General features: G+C 36.4%; 1 long non-coding RNA gene across 1 annotated transcript in view, besides 1 other annotated feature; it reads left to right on the forward strand.

Annotated features, from left to right (window-relative positions):
- Positions 1–2331, forward strand: part of AHI1-DT (AHI1 divergent transcript) — a 218255-nt gene extending 215924 nt beyond the window's left edge. Inside the window, exon 6 of the long non-coding RNA NR_152842.1 lies at positions 2098–2331. This is a non-coding gene — a long non-coding RNA (AHI1 divergent transcript). The remainder of the gene's footprint in view (positions 1–2097) is intronic.
- Positions 8732–9931: an enhancer, noted in NCBI's record as "P300/CBP strongly-dependent group 1 enhancer chr6:136043594-136044793 (GRCh37/hg19 assembly coordinates)". NCBI's record gives its function as "activates an origin of replication core promoter dependent on BRD2, BRD4, P300/CBP, MED14 and CDK7 cofactors, with strong dependence on P300/CBP, by STARR-seq in HCT116 cells {active_cell/tissue: HCT116}" and the evidence as "EXISTENCE:reporter gene assay evidence [ECO:0000049][PMID:35650434]".

A 21829-nucleotide genomic window follows, 5' to 3' on the forward strand; every position in this document is an offset into this window, starting at 1 on the left:
ACTCATAGCTTAACTCCCACTTATAGAAGTGAGAGCATGCAGTATTTAGTTTTCTGTTTCTGAGTTAATTCACTTAATTCGTTCTTTTTTATGGCTGAGGAGTATTTTATGGCACATACACCATATTTCTTTATCCACTCATCTATTGATGGGCACTTAGGTTGATTTTCTATCTTTGCAATTGTGAATTGTGCTGGAATTAACATGTGCACTCAGGTGTCTTTTTTATATAATGGCTTCTTTTCCTTTGGGTTGATACCCAGTGGTGGATTTGCTGGATCAAATGGTAGATCTACTTTTAGTTCTTTAAAAAATCTTCATATTGTTTTTCATAGAAGTTGACCTAATTGAAATTCCCACCAGGAATGTATAAGCATTCCCTGACAAAGGGGAATTTACATTGCAGATGGAATTAAGGTTGCTGATCAGCTGACTTTAAAATAAGGAGATTATTGTGGATTATCTCCTGGGCCCAGTAAGATCCAAAAGGGTCTCAGAAGTGGAAAAGAGAGACATAAAACAGAGTCAGTTAGAGAGAGATGTGACTACAGGTGAAGTCAAAGTCAATGCAATGTGAGAAGTACTCGACCAGCAGGATGAAATAGAAATAATAAAATAAGGTAGTATAAATCATTCCAAAAAATCAGTAGTAATGATAAAATAAAAATATATTCAACTCACTAGTTAAAAAATATAGATTGTCAAATTGAGTAAAAACATCAAAATCTAGCTGTTGCTTTTTATAAGTGACATACCTAAAGTGTAAGAACATGGAAAGACTAATGGCAAAGTTATAGAAAAATTATGCTTAGAAAATACTAACAAAGCATGTGGCTGGTATAGCTAGATTAAAAGCAGATCAAACATTTAAAAGTAAAAATATTAGTAGTATCAAAGAGGATTACTACATAATGATAAGAAAGTATAATCTAAAGAAATATACAATCATTTCAAACTTTCACATGTCTTAATAACATGCAGTACTTTGAAAATTCCCAAAGCAAATCTTGACAAATTTCAAAGAGCAATTCATAAGTCAACTGTTGTACTTGAAAGTATTAATACTTCTTAATGAATGGCAGTTCAAGCAGAAAAATTAATAAGTAACTTGAACAATATAGTTAACAAGCTTGAGATAATAGACCTACAGAGAAGCTAAACTCAAAATCACAAAACACATATTATTCTCAATTACACGTTAAACATTTATAAAGTGTTACCATTTATATTCATAAATAGGTTGCAATAGACAAAAAATTATATAGACTCAATTACCTTATCAACTCAAATTAGTAATCAATAACAAGAATATAACTTAAATGAATCTATTCAGAAATTAAAGTTAAAAATTTATAATTAATTTATGAGTTAAAAAAATCATAATGGAACTTAGGAAACAGAACCGTATGCTTTTTTAGACACAATATTGAAATTTGTGAGGCAGAGCTAGAGTATTAAATACTTGCATTAGGAAAGAAGAAAAGTGAATACTAATGAGATAAACATACAAATTAAGAATTTTTCTTAAAGAACAGAAAAATAAAACCTCAGGGAAAGTTGAAAGAATTAATAAATGTAAGAAGAGAAACTCATTTAGTATGTAACAAAGGAGAGAAACACAAAGTCAAAGCTGTTTTATAGAGAAAGCTGATAAAATAGATAAAGCTATAGTAAATTTGAGCAAAAGAAATAAAGGAAAGGTACAAATAAACTATTAAGAATAAAATATGCAGCATAACTACAAAAACAGAACAAATTTACTCTTTCAGAATTAATACTAAAAACAACTTTGTGGCAATATATTTTAAAAATGAGAAAAAAAATCCTAGAAAAGTATAGCTTACAGAATTGATTCAAGAAGAAATAGAAGACCTAAATGGAACTATAATGAATATGGCAACTGACAGTAGTTACAGGGCAGAGATTATTGGATGCTTACCAATGCTATTTCCTCTTCCCGGAAGTACATCTGCCTTGCCATTAGATTGAAGCTACAAGTTTGGTACTAGTCAGTGGAATGAGGGCGAAAAAGATAATTATAGGACTATCCTCCAAAATCTTTCTTTCTTAAAATCTTTGGCTTGCTTTCATTTGCAGCTGAAGGTAAAGAAATTTCATGTGGTGGATTCCTACAAAAGAAAAAGCTGCAAAAGAGTCAACCAGGAAAGGTGCTAGACACACATCCAATGGCTGCTGAGTGATGAATGAGAAAGAAACCTTCGGTGTAGTAAGCCATTGAAATTTGGGGGAAATTTGTAATAGCTGTTGCTGTAAACCTCCGCACTGCAAAACACACACATCCTAGATAATTAAAAGACAACTTCTACCAGATGTTGAAGGGCACATCATTCCAATCTTATGTAAATTATTCCAGAGAATAGACAAAGAGGAACTATTCCTCCAACAGATTTTAGGAAGCCAAAATAACCTTAATACCAACACTAGTGGAAAACAGAGTAAGAAAGGCACAACATGATTTATATGAGGAAATCCTAAACAAAGTATTAGCAAATTGAATCCAACGAAAAATATACTTGAATTGTGTGCACACATACGAAATCATTCTTCAATTAACAAATATTTTTAAGCATCTGACGTATGCCAAGCAGCAACATAACACCTTGAGACGTCAGAGATCTTTGCCCTTGTAAACCTACATTCCAGCAGAAGAAAATAGAGAATCTATAAATAATAGAGACTTCCTAGTGTCATCCTTGACTGAGGCAATCTTTTTCTTGGTGCTGCCTAAAAACGCCTTTGTTTTTTAAAAATTGTATATTATTGATGACTCATACTAGCTTATAGTTAAAAGGAATTCCCCAACCTTTAGAAAAGTATATAAATCATTATAAGGACCAGTTTACTTATTATGATGTATGTTGAGTGTTCAAAACAGCAAAAAAGAGTAAAATAATAAATACCACATCCACCCACAGCTTATAAAAGAAAACTCTGCCCATTCTCCTGTATATTTCTCTGTGCTGTTTCTTTCTTGCCACATAGGGTTACCACTAACCTACATTGTTTTCCATTTTTATTGCACGCTTATATGTATTTTTAAGCAATAGAAGCTATTGTTTACAGGTTTTAGAACTTTATTAAATACGTTTATGGACAGTAACTAATTCCATTTGTTTAAACGGTTTGGCATAAAATAGTAAATAATTCACAGCTAGTAAAACCAAAAAACAAAGAGATAACAACTATTTGCTGCTTACAAGGAACAAATAAAATAAAAAACTTTAAATATTTAATTGAAATCACAACCATCCTGATATAATAAACATACTAGCTGTAAGACAGAGTGGTCATGCTGGACAGCATCTTCAAGAAACCCTCCCTGTGGTTTTTATTTGATCCCCATAACATCTATTTTAAATCTTCTTAATGGCTTTCAATAACAACTTATAATTATATTTGTAAAGATCAGGCTCACTTTTTTAACAGATTGCTAAGTCTCATATAATTCATTAGGGCAAATTATATTGTTTCCAACAGTTCATTTTTCTGTTGTTGCTGGTGATTTCTATTGATGTAATGAATTTCTATACCGATTTATATCCAGCTATCTTCCAAAACTCTCTTGTATTAATTCTAATAATTATTTTGTAGATTATCTTGGGTTTTTCTAAAGATATAATTACATTTTCTGCAAAAACTAATAGTCATGTTTCTTTATAATTTTTATAAATTTTACTTCCTAGTCTATTCTTATTGGATGACCATTACTTCTATTTAAATGTTGAGCAGAAGCAGTGCAAGAAGGCATTCTTTTTTTTTTTTTTTTTTTTTTGAGACGGAGTCTCCCTGTGTAGCTCAGGCTGGAGCTCAGGCTGGAGGGCAGTGGCGTCGCGATCTCGGCTCACTGCAAGCTCCGCCTCCCGGGTTCACGCCATTCTCCTCCCTCAGCCTCCTGAGTAGCTGGGACTACAGGCGCCCGCCACCACGCCCAGCTAATGCTTTTTTGTATTTTTAGTAGAGACGGGGTTTCACCGTGTTAGCCAGGATGGTCTCGATCTCCTGACCTCGTGATCCACCCACCTTGGCCTCCCAAAGTGCTGGGATTACAGGTGTGAGCCACCGCGCCCGGCCAAGGAGGCATTCTTGTGTTATTCCAGATTTTAAAAAGAACACTGCTAATAGTTCAGTTTTAAGTACATTTGTTACAAATTTTATCAGGTTAAGAAATTCCCTTTATTATATTACCAATAATTGTTCTCATACAAGTTATTTTTATTTCCGCTGATTTTACAGATTTGGAAAGTGAGGCGTACACAGGCTAAATAACTTGCTTAATGAAACACTGGTCACAGAGTCAGAATGTGAAGAACAGGTTGTAGGACTGCAAAGCTCTTGCTGGGACTGTGGTCGTAGGCTTGCTCTCCGCTTTGGGCCCCACTACGTGATTAAAAATGAAGGCTTAGGATATGTTTACTTGGCAAATATCAACAGGAAGCAGTTGGAGCAATATAAATTTCAGACAAAGTAAAATGAAGCCAACAGCATTAAAATGAGACAAAGAGGGTCATTTTATGTTATCAAAAGTTATGGCTCAGAATGGTATAAATTATGAATTGTAGCATATCATCAAGCTATCAGACAAATACATGGAAATTAAGAGAAACAAAACTCTGTAGGAGATTTTAACATTTCTACCTCACCCTTTAACAGAATTAAAATAATAAAGAATAAATAATGACACAAATTATTTGAATACCATAATTAATACATTAATGTTATATATCATTTTCTCTTGGACATCTCAAGTATTAACACCATTAACACCCCAAATACAATCTCAATAAATTCCCCAAATCAAAAATTATACATATATTTCTTTCCATAAAGCAATAAATCTAGAAGTTAATAAATTTTTAAACAAAATAGTTTGTCTAAGAAATTTTTTAAAAATCACTCTTTTAAAGAACTATTGTGTCTGGGTGCAGTGGCTCAGGCCTATAATCCCAGCACTTTGGGGGGCCGAGGTGGGCGGATCACTTGAGGCCAGGAGTTCGAGACCAGCCTGGCCAACATGGTGAAACCCTGTCTTTAATAAAAATACAAAACTTAGCCAGGCATAGTGGCGGACAGCTGTAATCCCAGCTACTCGAGAGGCTGAGGCAGGAGAATCATTTGAACCCGAGAGGCAGAGGTTGAAGTGAGCTGAGATCACACCACTGCATTCCAGCTTGAGCAACAAGAGTGAAACTCCATCTCAAAAACAAAAAACAAAAAACAAAAAAACTATTGTTTCAAAAATGAAATAAAAACTATAGTTGGTCTTTCAAAAAACAATATGTTTCAGAACACTAAAATTTATAGACTATAGATACATTGTAATTTAAAAAATTTACAAGCATTAGTGATTTTGTCATTAAGCAATAAAGAATTAATATTTCATGAACTAAACTTTATATTCAAAAAGTTTAAAGAATCAGCAAAGCTAAAGAGATAAGAAAGATAAAGAAAAGAAGAACAATAAATTATGGAGAAAAGCAATAGAGTGTATAGGGTTAAAAACTGGTTGTTTGACTCTCAATAAACTTGGTAGTGATGGAATGTATCTCAAAATAATAAGAGCTATTTATGACAAACCCACAGACAATATACTGAATGGGCAAAAGCTGGAAGTATTCCGTTTGAAAACCGGCACAATACAAGGATACCCTCTCTCACCTCTCCTATTCAGTATAGAATTGGAAGTTCTGGCCAGGGCAATCAGGCAAGAGAAAGAAATAAAGGGTATTTAAATAGGAAGAGAGGAAGTCAATTTGTCTGTGTTTATAGATGGCATGATTGTATATTTAGAAAACCCCATCATCTCAGAGCAAAATTTCCTTAAGCTGATAAGCAATTTCAGCAAAGTCTCAGGATAGAAAATCAATGTGCAAAAATCACAAGCATTCCTGTACACCAATAATAGACAAACAGAAAGCCAAATCATGAGTGAATGCCCATTCACAATTGCTACAGATACCTGGGAATCCAACTTACAAGGGATGTGAAGGACCTCTTAATGGAGAACTACAAACTACTGTTCAAGGAAATAAGAGAGGACACAAACAAATGGAAAAACATTCCATGTTCATGGATAGGAAGAATCAATATCATGAAAATGGCCATACTGCCCAAAGTAATTTATAGATTCAATGCTATCCCCATCAAGCTACCATTGACTTTCTTCACAGAATTAGAAAAAAACTACTTTAAATTCCATATGGAACCAAAAAGGAGCCCATATAGCCAAGACAATCCTAAGCAAAAAGAACAAAGCTGGAGGCATCATGCTACCTGACTTCAAACTACACTACAAAGCTACAGTAACCAAAACAGCGTGGTACCAAAACAGATATATAGACCAATGGAACAGAACAGAAGCCTCAGAAATAACACCAAACATCTACAACCATCTAATCTTTGACAAATCTGACAAAAACAAGCAATGGGGAAAGGATTCCCTATTTAATAAAAGGTGTTGGGAATACTGGCTAATGGCTAGCCAGTACTTCTTCCTTGCACTTTATACAAAAATTAACTCAAGATGGATTAAAGACTTAAACATAAGACCTAAAGCCATAAAAACTCTAGAAGAAAATCTATGCAATACCATTCAGGACATAGGCATGGGCAAAGACTTCATGACTAAAACACCAAAAGCAATGGCAACAAAAGCCAAAATTGACAAATGGGATCTAATTAAAGTAAAGGGCTTCTGCACAGCAAAAGAAACTATCATCAGAGTGAACAGGCAACCTACAGAATGGGAGAAAATTTTTGCAATCTATCCACCTGACAGAGGGCTAATATCCAGAATCTATGAAGAATTTAAACAAATTTACAAGAAAAAACAACTCCATCAAAAAGTGGGTGAAGGATATGAACAGACACTTCTCAAAAGAAGACATTTATGTGGCCAATAAACATATGAAAAAAAACTCATCAACACTGGTCATTAGAGAAATGCAAATCAAAACCACAATGAGATACCATCTCATGCCAGTTAGAATGGCGATCATTAAAAAGTCAGGAAACAACAGATACTGGAGAGGACGTGGAGAAAAAGGAATGCTTTTACACTGTTGATGGGAGTGTAAATTAGTTCAACCATTGTGGAAGACAGTGTGGTGATTCCTCAAGGATCTAGAACCAGAAATACCATTTGACCCAGCAATCCCATTACTGGGTATATACCCAAATGATTATAAATCATTCTACTGTAAAGACATATGCACATGTATGTTTATTGCAGCACCACTCACAATAGTAAAGACTTGGAACCAACCCAATGCCCATCAATGATGGACTGGATAAAGAAAATGTGGCACATGTACACCCTGGAATACAATGTAGCCATAAAAAAGGATGAGTTCCTGTCCTTTGCAGGGACATGAATGAAACTGGAAACCATCATTCTCAGCAAACTAACACAGGAACAGAAAACCAAACACAGCATATTCTCACTCATAAGTGGGAGTTGAACAATGAGAACACATGGACACAGGGAGTGGAACATCACACACCGGGGCCTGTCGGTGGGGTGGGGAGCTAGGGAAGGAATTGCATTAGGAGAAATACCTAATGTAGATGACGGGTTGATGGGTGCAGCAAACCACCATGGCACGTGTATACCTATGTAACAAACCTGCACATTCTGCACATATATCCCAATACTTAAAGTATAACTTAAAAAACTGGTTATTTGAGAAAAACATGAAATAGACAAATATCTATAAATTATAATAAAAGGAAATACAAATTTACAAAATGAGAATTGAAAAGGCAAAAAGAGGCACAAAGTAGAAATACAAAACACCAATGAAAAGTGGAAAATATGCTCACTAGTAAGCAAAATATAGACACTAAAGTACTGTTCTTCACTATTAATATAAGAAATTCTGGCTGGGCATGGTGGCCCAAGCCTGTCATCCCAGCACTTTAGGAGGCTAAGGTGGGCAGATCACGAGGTCAGGAGGTCAAGACCAGCCTGAACAACGTGGTGAAACCCCGCCTCTATTAAAAATTACAAAAATTAGCCGGGTGTGGTGGTGGGTGCCTGTAATCCCAGCTACTCAGGAGGCTAATGCAGGAGAATTGCTTGAACCTGGGAGGCAGAGGTTGCAGTGAGTGGAGATCACACCATCGCACTCCAGCCTGGGTGACAGAGCAAGTCTCCATCTCGAAAAAAAAAAGAAGTGTTTATAATAATACTGAATTCAAGATCATAGTAACGTGTCTGTTTTTTACATGGCAGCTAGAAGTTGGCACATCATTTCCCAAAAGGTAGCTTTTAAAAAGTCACACATTTTGACTCAATATGAATCTAACCCAAATAAAAAATTAAAATATCCCAAGACTTTTGCACAAGATCCAATTTTAATTTTTTATTTATAAATGAAAATTAGGAATAAATCATTATGTACAATAATAGAATAATTGAAAATTAAATGAGATAAAACCACATGATAGAATTTTTAGAATATGACTGATGCAGGAAAATGCTTACTAAATAGTTTTTAGTGAAGGAAAAAGTAGGACACACCTGCTTTTTACAGTATGTACAGTAGACTCATGGCATTTAACATTGTAACCTTTGATTACTTAACATTGGGTGGTTTGTGATGGACCTCTGTGATCTATGGTGAATAATATGTTTTCATTTGGAGAGAGAGCATATAAAAGATTACAGATCATTTCCTAGTCAATGTTTATATATATGTCTCATACATAACAACTTATTTGTTTTATAAAGCTCTATAAAGGCATTCCTAAATTCTTTGATATGAGAATACTCAACAGATATGAGTATTTGACATATTTTGTTTTTCCTACAGAACATCATCATCCAAATCCCCTTTTCCCCTCCCTGACTCCAAATATTTATTAGAACCTGCAGCATAGGAGTGGGTGTGCTGGGCTGGATACAGAACATTAGGCTGACAGATTTTGACTGTCAGTTAATGTAGGAGATTTCTGATTTGATCTCACAATGTCCCAGCACCAAGTTAGTGAGGATGTGGCTGCTTGGGGTTCGGGTAAGCGAGTGTCCTGGTAGAGCATACTGTTTTAAAGCTCAGCAACTGTAGAATGAAAGAATGCTCCGAAGCTAAGACCTCTTGACTCATTATGACTAATACATCTCAGAGCTGTATCGTAAGGCAAATCAGTTCTTTATAAATAATTAACTTGGGTCAACCTGAGGTCAGAGATAATTTGAATGCTACATGACTAAATGTTTCCTACCATCTAGCTAGTCTTGCTGACTCCTTGCCAAAAGCTGTGGGAGCCCACCTCTTGTATCAGCGTGATCTGGATGTGAGACATGGAGTCAAAGGTGATCATGTTGGAAATGTAAGGTTTAATGACTGCCCTGTTGGATCTAGGACTTGCATGGGGCCTGTCACCCCTTTGTTTTGGCCAGTTTCTCCCATTTGGAAAGGGTGTATTTACCCAATGCCTGCACCCCCATTGTGTCTAGGAAGTAACTAACTTGCTTTTGATTTTACAGGTTCATAGGCAGAAAGGACTTGCCTTGTCTCAGATGAGACTTTGGACTTGGACTTTTGGGTTAATGCTGGAATGAGCTAAGATTGTGGGGGACTGTTGGAAGGGCATGATTGTGTTTTGAAATGTGAGGACAAGAGATTTGGGAGGGGCCAAGTGGGGAATGACATAGTTTGGCTCTGTGTCCCCACCCAAATCTCACCTTGAATTTTAATAATCCCCATGTGTCAAGGGCAGGAGCAGGTGGAGGTAATTAAATCATGGAGGTGGTTTCCACTATGCTGGTCTCATGATAATGAGTGAGTCTCACAAGATCTGATGGTTTTATAAAGGACAGTTTGCCTGCACAAGCTCTCTTGTCTACAGCCATGTAAGACATGACTTTACTCCTCCTTCACCTTCTGCCATGATTGTGAGGCCTCTCCAACCATGTGGAACTGTGAGTCCATGAAATCCCCTTTTCTTTATAAATTTCCCAGTCTCAGGTATTTCTTCATAGCAGTATGAAAATGGACTAATACGCTTCTCTTCCCACTTCAGGCCTCACTTGAATGCCATTTCTTCCAAAGAGCCTCCTTTGACCCCCCAAGAGAAATTGTATTCCCTTCTTATGTTCAAGAGTTTTCAGTTTCATCACTGGCATCTCTTATACATCTTCATTCGGACTTAAATGCTCATAGAGTGAAGAAAGGATGGACGTATTGTGTTTACTTAATGGTTCCCAGTTAGTTCCATCTTGGGAATTTGAAGCTGGGAGTAGATATTTGATCTCTTGATTCTGCTTGTTTGTAAGAGTCTACAGTGTTAGTTTTCTGGAAGGCAACCCTATTGTTTGGGGCAACAAACCACTAGGAAACATTAGGACTGAAAGACCAGGTGAACTTGAGATTACTATTGCTGAGTAGGATCATAGGGTACACTTTAGTATTTTGCTTGTGCTTTTCTTATTATCAATTTAATACAAGTTCATTTAAAAATGTAGAAAGAATATACAATGTAAAGAGGAAGAAAATACCTCATATACCTTGTATCCAGAAGCAACCAGGTCATCTCTTAGCATTTTCATTTCCTTTCCAGCTGGTATAAAAGATTTTCAGTACTGAGAGAGCTCTTAGAATTCCTCTCAGGCTCACTCTAAGTCAGGACTCTCATCTTCCTGTCTGTTATCCTTTCTATTACTTCATAATACCTTATTTTAAAAAATTAAGGAAATTACAGGTTGGAAAAGATAAACCAGGCTGGAAATATGGAGAGTATGAAAAGTGGTAAAGAAAAACAAACCCTTTAACATCTATTTTCTCAGCATCACAGAGAGTTGAACTTGTATAGAGTTTGAACTCCCCTCAATTAGAACCTATAGATAAATAATTACAAAATTCAAAATCCAAACATACCACAGCAAATCAAAGCAAACTAAATCACTCCAACAGCCTGCCCTCCCACCCACCAAAGTGACCTATAAGAATTATCTACCAAATTTATACTATATCTTGATTATTAAGTCCTTAAGTTAAAATTACTGCAGACAAATTTAGTTACTTTACTTTCCTACATTTACACAATATTTCATGAGCTTATAACAAACACTTTGATTAAAACTCAATGGTCAATATGTTAGCGATTTTGGACAAGGTAATTTTAAAAGATGTAGGATAATTTAAAGTGATTATGGTAAATAAACATGGATTATACAAAAATTTATTTCCACAGCAGTAGTAATTATAGAATAAAAAATTAGAAATAGCAAAAATATTTCACAATAAAAGCTTGGTTAAATTCCTACATTTCAATAAAACATGATGTCATTGACTGTTGGATAGTGATATGGTTTGGCTGTGTCCCCACCCAAATCTCATCTTGAGTTCCCATGTGTTGTGGGAGGGACCTGGTCGGAGGAAATTGAATCACGGGGGCAAGTCTTCCCGTGCTGTTCTAGTAATAGTAAATAAATCTTGCAAGATCTGATGGTTTTAAAAAGAGGAGTTTCCATGCGCAAGCTTTCTTTTTTGCCTGCTGCCATCCGTGTGAGATGTGACTTGCTTCTCCTTGCCTTCTACCCTGATCATGAGGCCTACCCAGCCATGTGGAACTCTAGTCAGTTAAACCTCTTTCTTTTGTAAATTGCCCAGTCACTAGTACGTCTTTATCAGCAGTGTGAAAACAGGCTAATACAGTACATTGGTACCAGTAGATGGGGTGCTGCTGAAAAGATACCCAAAAATATGGAAGGGACTTTAAAACTGAGTAACAGGCAGAGTTTGGAACAGTTTGGGGGGCTCAGAAGAAGATGGGAAAATGTGGGAAAGTTTGGAACTCCCTGGAAACTTGTTGAATGGCTTAGACAGAAATGCTGATAGCGATATGGACAATAACGTCCAGGCTGAGGTGGCCCCAGATGGAGATGAGGAACTTGTTGGGAACTGGAGCAAAAGTGACTCTTGTTATGTTTTAGCAAAGAGACTGGTGGCATTTTGCCCCTGCCCTAGAGATTTGTGGAAATTTGAACTTGAGACAGATGATTTAGGGTATCTGGTAGAAGAAATTTCTAAGCAGCAAAGCAGTCAAGAGGTGACTTGGGTGCTGTTAAAGGCATTCAGTTTTATAAGGGAAGCAGAGCATAAAAGCATGAAAAATTTGCAGTCTGACAATGTGACAGAGAAGAAAATCCCATTTTTTGAGGAGAACTTCAAGCTGGCTGCAGAAATGTGCTTAAGTAATGAGGACCTGAATGTAAATCCCCAAAACAATGAGGAAAATATCTCCAGGGCATGTCAGAGGTCTTCACAGCAGCCCCTCCCATTACAGGCCTGAAGGCCTAGGAGGGAAAAGTGGTTCTGTGGGCTGGGCCCAGTGTTCCCATGTTGTGTGCAGCCTAGGAACTTGGTGCCCTGCTTCCTTGCCATTCCAGCCATGCCTGAAAGGGGCCAATGTAGAGCTCAGGCCACAACTTCAGAGGTGCAAGCCCCAAGCCTTGGCAGCTTCCATGTGATGTTGAGCCTGTGAGTGCATAGAAGTCAAGAACTGAGGTTTGGGAATCTCCACCTAGATTTCAGATGTATGAAATGCCTGGATGTCCAGGCAGAAGTTTGCTGCAGGGGCAGGGCCCTCATGGAGAACTTCTGCTAGGGCAGTGTGGAAGGGAAATGTTTGGTTGGAGGCCCCACCCAGAATCCCTACTGGGGCACTGCCTAGTGGAGCTGTGACACAAGGGCCACCATCCTCCAGACCCCAGAATGGTAGATTCACTGACAGCTTGCACCATGCACCTAGAAAAGCTGCAGATACTCAACCCCAGCCCATGAAAGCAGCCAGGAGGGAGGCTGTACCCTGCAAAGCCACAGGACTAGAGCTGCCCAAGATAGGAACCCACCTCTTACGTCAGTGTGACCTGGATGTGAGACATGAAGTCAAAGGAGCTCATTCTGGAACTTTAATATTTGACTGCCCTGCTGGATTTTGGACTTTCATGGGGCCTGTAATCCCTTCGTTTTGGCAAATTTCTTCCATTTGAAATGGCTGTATTTACCCAATGCCTGTACCCCCATTGTATCTAGAAAGTAACTAACTTGCTTTTGATTTTAAAGATCATAGACAGAAGGGTCTTGCTTTGTCTCAGATGAGACTTTGGACTGTGGACTTTTTAGTTAATGCTGAAATGAGTTAAGACTTGGGGGACTGTTGGGAAGGCATGATTGGTTTTTGAAATGTGAGGACATGAGATTTGGGAGGGGCCAGGGGTGGAATGATAAGGTTTGGCTTTGTCTTCACTGAAATCTCATCTTGAGTTCCCACATGTTTTGGGAGGGACCAGGTGGGAGGTAATTGAATCATAGGGGCAGGTCTTTCCTGTTCTATTCTCATGATAGTGAATATGTCTCACAAGATCTGATGGTTTTAAATCCCTGCACAAGTTTTTTTTTTTTTGCCTGCTGCCATCCATGTAAGATGTGACTTGCTTCTCCTTGCCTTCTGCCATGATTGTGAAGCCTCCCAAGCCACATGAAACTGTAAGTCCATTAAACCTCTTTTGTAACTTTCCCAGTCTCAGGTATGTCTTTATCAGCAGCATGAAAACAAGACTAATACAGATATCATGGGACTATGATCACAATATTTGAACTAAAAAGCTATTGTCAAATACTATAAGCAATATTATTCTATTTGTGGAAAAATATATTAACACTTGGAAAAGAGACTGAAAGAATATTGATCAAAATCTAAAGCAGGTTTATTTGTGGGTTATGAGATCTGGTGACTTAATATTTTTATTTGTGCTTTTTAATATTTCCCAAATTTTCTACAATGAGTATAGATTGTTCAGTAGATTGTTCTGAACATAAATAAGACAGATTATCTGTGTGAAAAATATTAGAATATTTATGGAGAACAATCTACATAAACAGATTGTAGATTGTAGAATTATTAACCTAGAGTATTTGGGCTCCTCGAATGCCCATAAATGGGTGTCAAAGAGTCTGTGTACCCTGTGGAATAATTTGTATGTGTTTGTATATATTGTTGCTGATGGAAGGGGATCCACATCTTTCACAAAATTCTCAAAGTGCTCTGTGATCCTCAAGACCTAAGCAAAAGTACTTTGCAGCAACCTGTTCTAAATCTTGTTTATGACAATTTAAAGTCGGTGTCTCTAGGCTCCTCATTTCAAAGATTGTGCATATATAAACTGTTTTGGCTCATGGGCCATTCACAGTGAAAGCATTTGGGTTAAAGCCAGAATATTTATGGGAGTAAATAAAATTAGTATCCACTTGAAATGACAGCAGAAAAGGTAAGTTATTTTTTGTTTGATAAGAACTGTATCTTACTACCAAAACTCTCTAATACATCCTGAATTATTCAAAATTAAGACTCAAATTTTCACATTAAAGTTGACTAGTGTAATGATGTGTTTCTGTTAAAAATCCTCATTATGAAATACATTTTGAAACATTACCTACTGAATAAACATTCAACTTTGCTTTCTTTTGATCCCTACTTAAATCACCATATAACACTGACGTCTTACTCTGTAAGTCTTCACATGGTCTTTGATCAAAAGCAGCGTAACCTGAAAATGACCTTTATAAATGGACTTACATTTTCCTCTTGTGAATGGAGATAGAGAGGGGCTGAAAGCTGCTCTGTGCTTCTTTGCCTAACAAGCCTAAAAATCTTATGGGAAAAATGTCAACATCACCCAGACATTTGAAACCCTGAAGGGCATTGGTTTGTCATTTATTCAAAAATTAAGTTTTCTTTCATTTTGCCTTTACACTTTCATTTTGGATAATTGTGCACATAAACTTACACACACTTCTTTCATTCATTAACTGAAGAATTGCACTCTGGTTACAAAGACCACATCATAAGTACTTACTAAGTTATAAGTTAAAAAGAAGTGGATTCATTTTTAATTTATTATTCAATAAAATTCTTATTTCCCATTTGGGACAGATGCAGAATTTGTGGTTCTTTTAAAATAGCAGCCTGCAGGCTTATTTCTATCCAGAGAACAGTACAGTCCTTTTGAGTTTGACCCTATAAAATGTTTTGCTTATTTACTTTTTAATTTCAGGGTTGATCGTTGCAGTCATTACACACACTGGTTCATGGTGAACATTGGAAGCTTGCCTCCATATTCTCTGACCAAAGAAGCCACGTAGTGGTTCTCCCTTTTAAAAAAGTTCTTTACAATCAGCTGCAGCCAGTTTTTGATTTTGGAGAACTTTATCTAGAACTGTGACATTTTGTGGAGTTTTATACATTGGAATGTCCTGTTCACTAACCCATTGATAGGAGAGGGGTGCGACCCCCTTGCTGCAACTCACTCACTGCTTCTCATTTGGTGATTGATCAAGTTCTACCATATAGACTACTGAAGTTTTCATTATGAACTGTCAACTCTTAAGGATAAAGAGCATTGTTCCAAAAGACATCTTTTTAAGAACTAGGAAGAGTGGGAAGAATATTAGCCTCCTCCAAGTCAATAATAAGGATTCTTATTAGAGGATTCTGATGAGGCCACTTACACATGTATAGAAAGACAGGGCCAGGTGTGGTGGCTTACGCCTGTAATCCCAGCACTTTGGGAGGCCGAGGCAGGCAGATTACTTGAGGTCAGGAGTTCAAGGCCAGCCTAGTCAACATGGTGAAATCCCATCTCTACTAAAAATACAAAAAGTAGCCGGGCATGGTGGCAGGCACCTATAATCCCAGTTACCAGGGAGGCTGAGGCAGGAAAATTGCTGGAACCCAGGAGACGGAGGTTGCAGTGAAGCCAATGTACTCCAGCCTGGGCAACAAGAACAAAACTCCGTCTCAAAAAACAAAAAGAAAGACAAAAATCAAGGATCTACAACATATGGAAGAAGAAGGGGTTCCCTGAAGATACATCTGGTAATTTCACTATGTTTTGCAGGCCAAGACTTAATAGTGAAAATAATTCAACTTTTCAGCTTAAAAACAAAAAACAAAAAAACAATTTTCTCCTAAACATGTAACTATTGAAAAATCTAAGATACAGGGAATCAGAAGCAATGTATGAGAGAAGGCATATGTTTGGTTAATGTGTTTCATTATATGTTAAATGTAGTTCCCCACTACTGATGTTCAATAGATAAAAAATAAGCAAAATGTGTGAAATAAAGTGCTATTATAGAATAGTGCAAAAACTTTCCAATGGTAGGCTCTTGTCTCTTTTCTATAGACTTGTGATCTGTGGGGATGTGCTCTCATGCTCTTCATTAATACCCTGCTCCACCCCATCGTTAAATATTCCAGACTTTTCTAAGTAAATACCATCCAACAACAGAATACGCATCTTTCATTGTCACAGTTAGCTGATATCTATGGAACGCTCCACATTTCTCCATAACTTCAATACTGAAGCATGTGCCTATTCGTCATTCTTTTTGCCAACCCAGTGACTTCAACACTACTCTTGGTTTTCTTGGTTTTCCTTCTCTGGCTTACCCCTATGATCGTTACAAAAACCACGGTTTCCATCTCCATTCCAATTTAGCCACTATGTTTATAGCCATAATTTAAATCTAATCATCAGTCAAGATTACTTTATTGCTAACATCCTAAATTCTAACATTTCCTTTTTTTCTTCCACAAAGTTTTGTTTTACTGCTCCATTCATTTTCTTAACTTTACTAATCAAATAGTTATCCTTCTTTTCTACTTCAGTTCCTTATTGCTCCTCTGATTTTCCAATCCAGTGGCACTCAAGCTTTGGCATACATTAGAATCACTTGTTGAAACACAAGTGTAGATCGTACCCTCCAGAGTTTCTGATTCTGTAGGTCTGAGATGGGGCCTGAGGATCTGCATTTTAACGGGTTCCGAGTGATACTGATGCTGCTGGTATGAAAACCACACTGAGAAAAATAATCTTTGTTCAATAAAACTCTTGTTCCATTAGAGAAATAAGTGATTGGGAAGTGGAACTTACAAGGGTGGTTCAACATATACAACTCAATCAATGGGCTACATCATATCAACAGAATGAAAAACAAAAACCATATGATCATTTCAATTGATGCTGAAAAAGCATTCTCTATCTCGTCTGTTTTTTATATCATCCATCTTTTAAATTTTGGGGAACCTATTGGGTAAAAAATAATATCTTACTCTTTAAACTGGTATAGTATTTTTTTCTATCATGACTCATGTGGCTAAGCATGTTTTTCATATTTGTTGTTTGTTTGCCTTTCATTTATGTGAATTGACTACTGAACTCATTTCTGTTTATTTCTTTCTCAGTGAGTGATAGGAATTTTTATACATTCTGGTTGCTAATTCTTCATTTGTTATTATACAACACAATTTTATTAGTCTTTCACTTGTGTTTCAACCATGAATAAGTATTTTTTATATATTTTAATTATTTTAATATAATCAAGGTTATCTATTTTTTTTACACTACCATTTTTGGGTTTTTATCCTAGTTAGCAGGGCCTTCCTTATCCTGGGGTCATTAACGAATATTAGACCTCTTTTCTTTTCTTTCTTTCCTTCTTTTCTTTTTCTTTCTTTTTCTTTCTTTCTCTTCTTTCTTTCTCTCTCTTTCTTTCTTTTTCCTTTCTTCCTTCCTTTTTCCTTCCCTTCTTTCTCCTTCCTTTCTCTCTCTCTTTTTCTCTCCTCTCTTTCTCTCTTTGTTTCTTCTTTCTTCTTTTTTCTTTGAGACAGAGTCTCACTCTGTCACCCACGCTGGAGTGCAGTGGTGCGATCTTGGGTCACTGCAACTTCTACCTCCTGGGTTCAAGCTATTCTCATGCCTCAACCTCCCAAGTAGCTGGGATTACAGGCATGCGCCACCATGTCTGTCTAAACTAAATCTTTTCCTGATGCTTTTAAAGATTTAAAAATTTTTTGCTCTACTTTTTAAACTTTCCGAAATTATTTTTTCTGTATACTATGATGTAAAAAATCTAATTTTAATTTTGTCCTTATTAATAGTCCATCTTTTATTTATTTCCAGTGCTACCCCTCTCATAGACCAATACCCATTATATGTGAGTTTATTCTATTTGATTGGACAATTTACCTAATATGGCACCAATGCTACACTATTACTATAGCTTTATTAAATGTTTTGATATCTGGTAGAACAAGTTCTCCCATTTACTTATTTTTCACAAATTTCTTTTTTTTTAAATGATAGCAAGTTTATTAAGAAAGCAGAGGAATAAAAGAATAGGCAAAGCAGCCACAAATTTCTTATATTCTCTTGTAACTTACTTCTCTGTGTAACTTTTAGAATAGACTTGTAAAGTTCCACGAAAAATCTTGTTGAGACTTTTGTTTGATATTGTGTTGAATTCATGCATTAGTTTAGAGGAAATTCACATCTTTAAAAGTGTGGATTTTCTCACCTACACACATCTTAACCTCTCCACCTATTCCAGTGTTCTTTTATGCCCATCAGGAATGCTGTATCATTGAATCCACAAAGATTTAACCCTCTTGTCATTGTTAAATTTATTCCTAGATACTTAAGATTTAACTGAAAAAGAAAACATTCCTTTAACGTCAATCCTCTCTCTTGATCTAATCCTGACACTCTAATTTCTTAAACTGTCCATTTTTTGAATGACCTGTTTGGAGAGTCTGTTTTCTCCATTTTCATACCACCTGCTATATTCCCTTGCAATATGGCTTTCTTTCCTGACACTGTAGAAAAAGTATTCTTTAAAATGTTGCTGATGATACCTGAATTGCCTAATTGCATAATTTTTTCTCAGTTTTAATCATTCTCAATTTCTCTGCGTTACTTGTCGTTATTGATCCCTGCACCTATGTCAATACTCCTCCATTGCTGTCCATGGCATTTCACTGTCCTGTTTTTTTTTTTTTTCCTATTACACTCTCATTGCTTCTTATCTAGCTTTTTATTCTCCCACTCTGTGAACATACTGTTGTTGTGACCTCTTTCTATATGCTTTCTTCCCATGCATTTGAGGATGACAGGGATTTCTATATGCTCCCAACAATGATTTTCGTGCTTGGCAGGTTATGGGTGGTGAATAAAGGTTTCTTGAACAAACGGATCAACCTAATCATAGCTTTCAAATGCTTATTAACAGGAAAGTCAGGTCACTATTGATTATTGGGCAAATTTGAACTCTGTTTACCATTTCTGAGGCTACATTATGGTCTCATTTTACTTTCAGTCGTATTTTTCTCCTCCACTGTAATCAAACTGTTAACTGCTTCATAATATTGCCTTTGTTCCTGAGGTTTTCTCTACCTGGGATTCCTTCCACTTTTATTTGTTGAACTCTTGTCCATTACTTAAGAACTATATCATCTCTCTCCTTTTCTTGGAAGTCTTTTCTCATTCTTCCTGGTTTGATGTAATCTCTTCCACTTTTGAATCTTCAGAGACACTGTCTGATTTCTGCTACTCTCATTGCATTTGTATTCATTAATAATAAAAACTGTCTTTAAAATTGGCACAGATTAAAAAGAACGATAATTCCCAATCTTGGCAAGGTGAGGGAAGAGAAAGTTTCAAAAATTCTTGATAGGAATTTCTAGAGCATAATTTGGCAACATGTGTCAAAGCCTTAAATATGCAATTAGTCCATGGTGCAGCAATTTCCATTTCCATGAATTTTTCCTAAGGAAATAGTCAAAGATATGTGCAATATTGCTCATTATAACATGTTTTTGTAAAAGTAAAAAAACCTGTAAAAACCTGTGTCCAATAATCTAGTTTTGGCTCAGCAAACCTTAGCATATCTATAATAGAAGACAACAAAACCAAAATCATTTTATAAAAGAATATTTATTTACATGGGAAAATGTTCACAATATGAAAAATAAAACAGGACATACAACAATTTTTCTAGCATAATGTCATTATTTCAGAGGAAAATAAATGTGCTTAGAAAATATTAGAAAGACATTTAAAATGCTATTAATGGTTTTGTGAGATTGTGGTTGATACGAATTTTTTTAAAGTTCTACTTTTCTATCTTTTCAAAATTTTCATATGTGTGCATTTTGTTTATAATTTATATCCAAATGGACTACATGATATGTTGCCCAGGTTCCTCCTCCTCTCTTCTCTACCCTCATCTATTAAGACGTAGGCTCTCATTCACCTGCTGCTGGAGGACTGAAGGCTGACCTCCCCGTGTTGAGACCCAGTTCTCCAATCCAGCAACTGCCCTTCACTGAGCAAAGCTGCCACTGGAGAGAGTTGCCTCTTCCAAGGTCACATGCCCTTCCCACAGGAAGTCTGCATCTAGTGACTGTAGTTATAGGACTCTAAACTCCTATCCCCTTTACCCCAATTTGAGAGAATGCTACAGGGCCATCCAGCTTCAGATTTCACTCTGCAATTAGTTGTGGGCTTTCTTAAAACTTCTTCACGACCCACCTTCTCCCTCTGTCTGATCATGGTTCTTTCCTTCCCCCTACAGCTGTCAATCCTGAGAGCCCACCCTAGTAAACTTCCTACATCTGCTTTACAGGGAAGCTCACCTGGAACATCTGTTTGCTTGGCACTTTACACTTATTACCTCCCAAAACCTTGCAATAGGATTTTAGGGCAGTTATTGGCGTCTCTGTTTTTCAGAAGAAGAAAACTACATTCAAAATGTTTATGTATTTTATGCAAAGGTACACTATTAATAAATGTCAGAGCCAGGTTTGAAAGTAGCTGTGTTTGGATATAAAAACTATGCTTTTTCCATTAAGCCAAATGGCTCTCTGCAGTCAGTTGTGTGCTTTATTATTTTTGTGCTTTTCTAGTTCTCTCTGGTAGATGGTAAATTCGTTGGCTGCAGGGATTTTATCTTATTTGTCTTTGAATCCCCTGCAGGGTATTGCATAGTACCTTACACATAATAAGTGCTCCATGTTTTTAGAATTGACTTGAACTAGTTGAGGCTTGAAATGTAGTTCTACTTCTGTTCCACAAAAAAACAGATTCCCTAGCAGGAAAAGAAAATCATGATGGTAAGATTTAGAAATTGTTTTTTGATTTAAATTTCATGAAATAATCTCCTAAAAAAGAGTGATACTAATTTTCTTCTCTTTGCTTAATATTAGATAACAAAATGCAATTTTCCAGAACTTTGCTTATAATTACTAAAATAAACAAATCAGTGAGTGTAATAAACTTATACTGAACTGTGATGGCAAATACTATGGTTTTTACCTTATATCCCTGATTCAGGGTTCTCTGAAATCTAAGTCATTGGAGAAGAGAATCTACTAAGAGTAGAAAAATGTAACAAGGAAATAAGCTTGCTCCTTACACAAGAATTGAAAGTATTCTAAGAGTCTTAAAGTTTTTGTGGCAGCAGAGATGCGTGAGCTGACATTTCCAGCAATCAATGGAATTTGCAAGTGCGAGATGAATTTTCCTTAATTAAAATCTACCAGATTAATCATATTTTAAGTACAAGTAAAATGAATGTATAACTAATTAGTTATGCTGTTAGGAATAAATGACATTAGGTTCATGTTTACATTTAGGGAGGCAGACATTTGAAAGTAAACTACAAAGACTGCTGCTATGGTCTGAATATGGGTGTTCTCACAAATTTATGCATTAGAACTTAATTCCCAACATGATAGTATTAAGAGATAGGGCCTTTGGGAAGCAATTAAGTCATAAAGGCTTTGCTGTCGAATGGGATTAGTGCTCTTATGGACAGTTGAAGGGAGTTGCCTCACCCCTTCCACTCTGTGAAGACACATAGAAGCTGCTATTATGAGCAACAAGCCCTCCCCAGACACTGAATCTGCTGGCTCCTTGATCTTGGACTTCCCAGACTCCAGAACTATGAGATATAATTTCTGTTGTTGA

This window comes from Homo sapiens, chromosome 6, assembly GCF_000001405.40.
Source record: "Homo sapiens chromosome 6, GRCh38.p14 Primary Assembly".
NCBI lineage: Eukaryota > Metazoa > Chordata > Mammalia > Primates > Hominidae > Homo > Homo sapiens.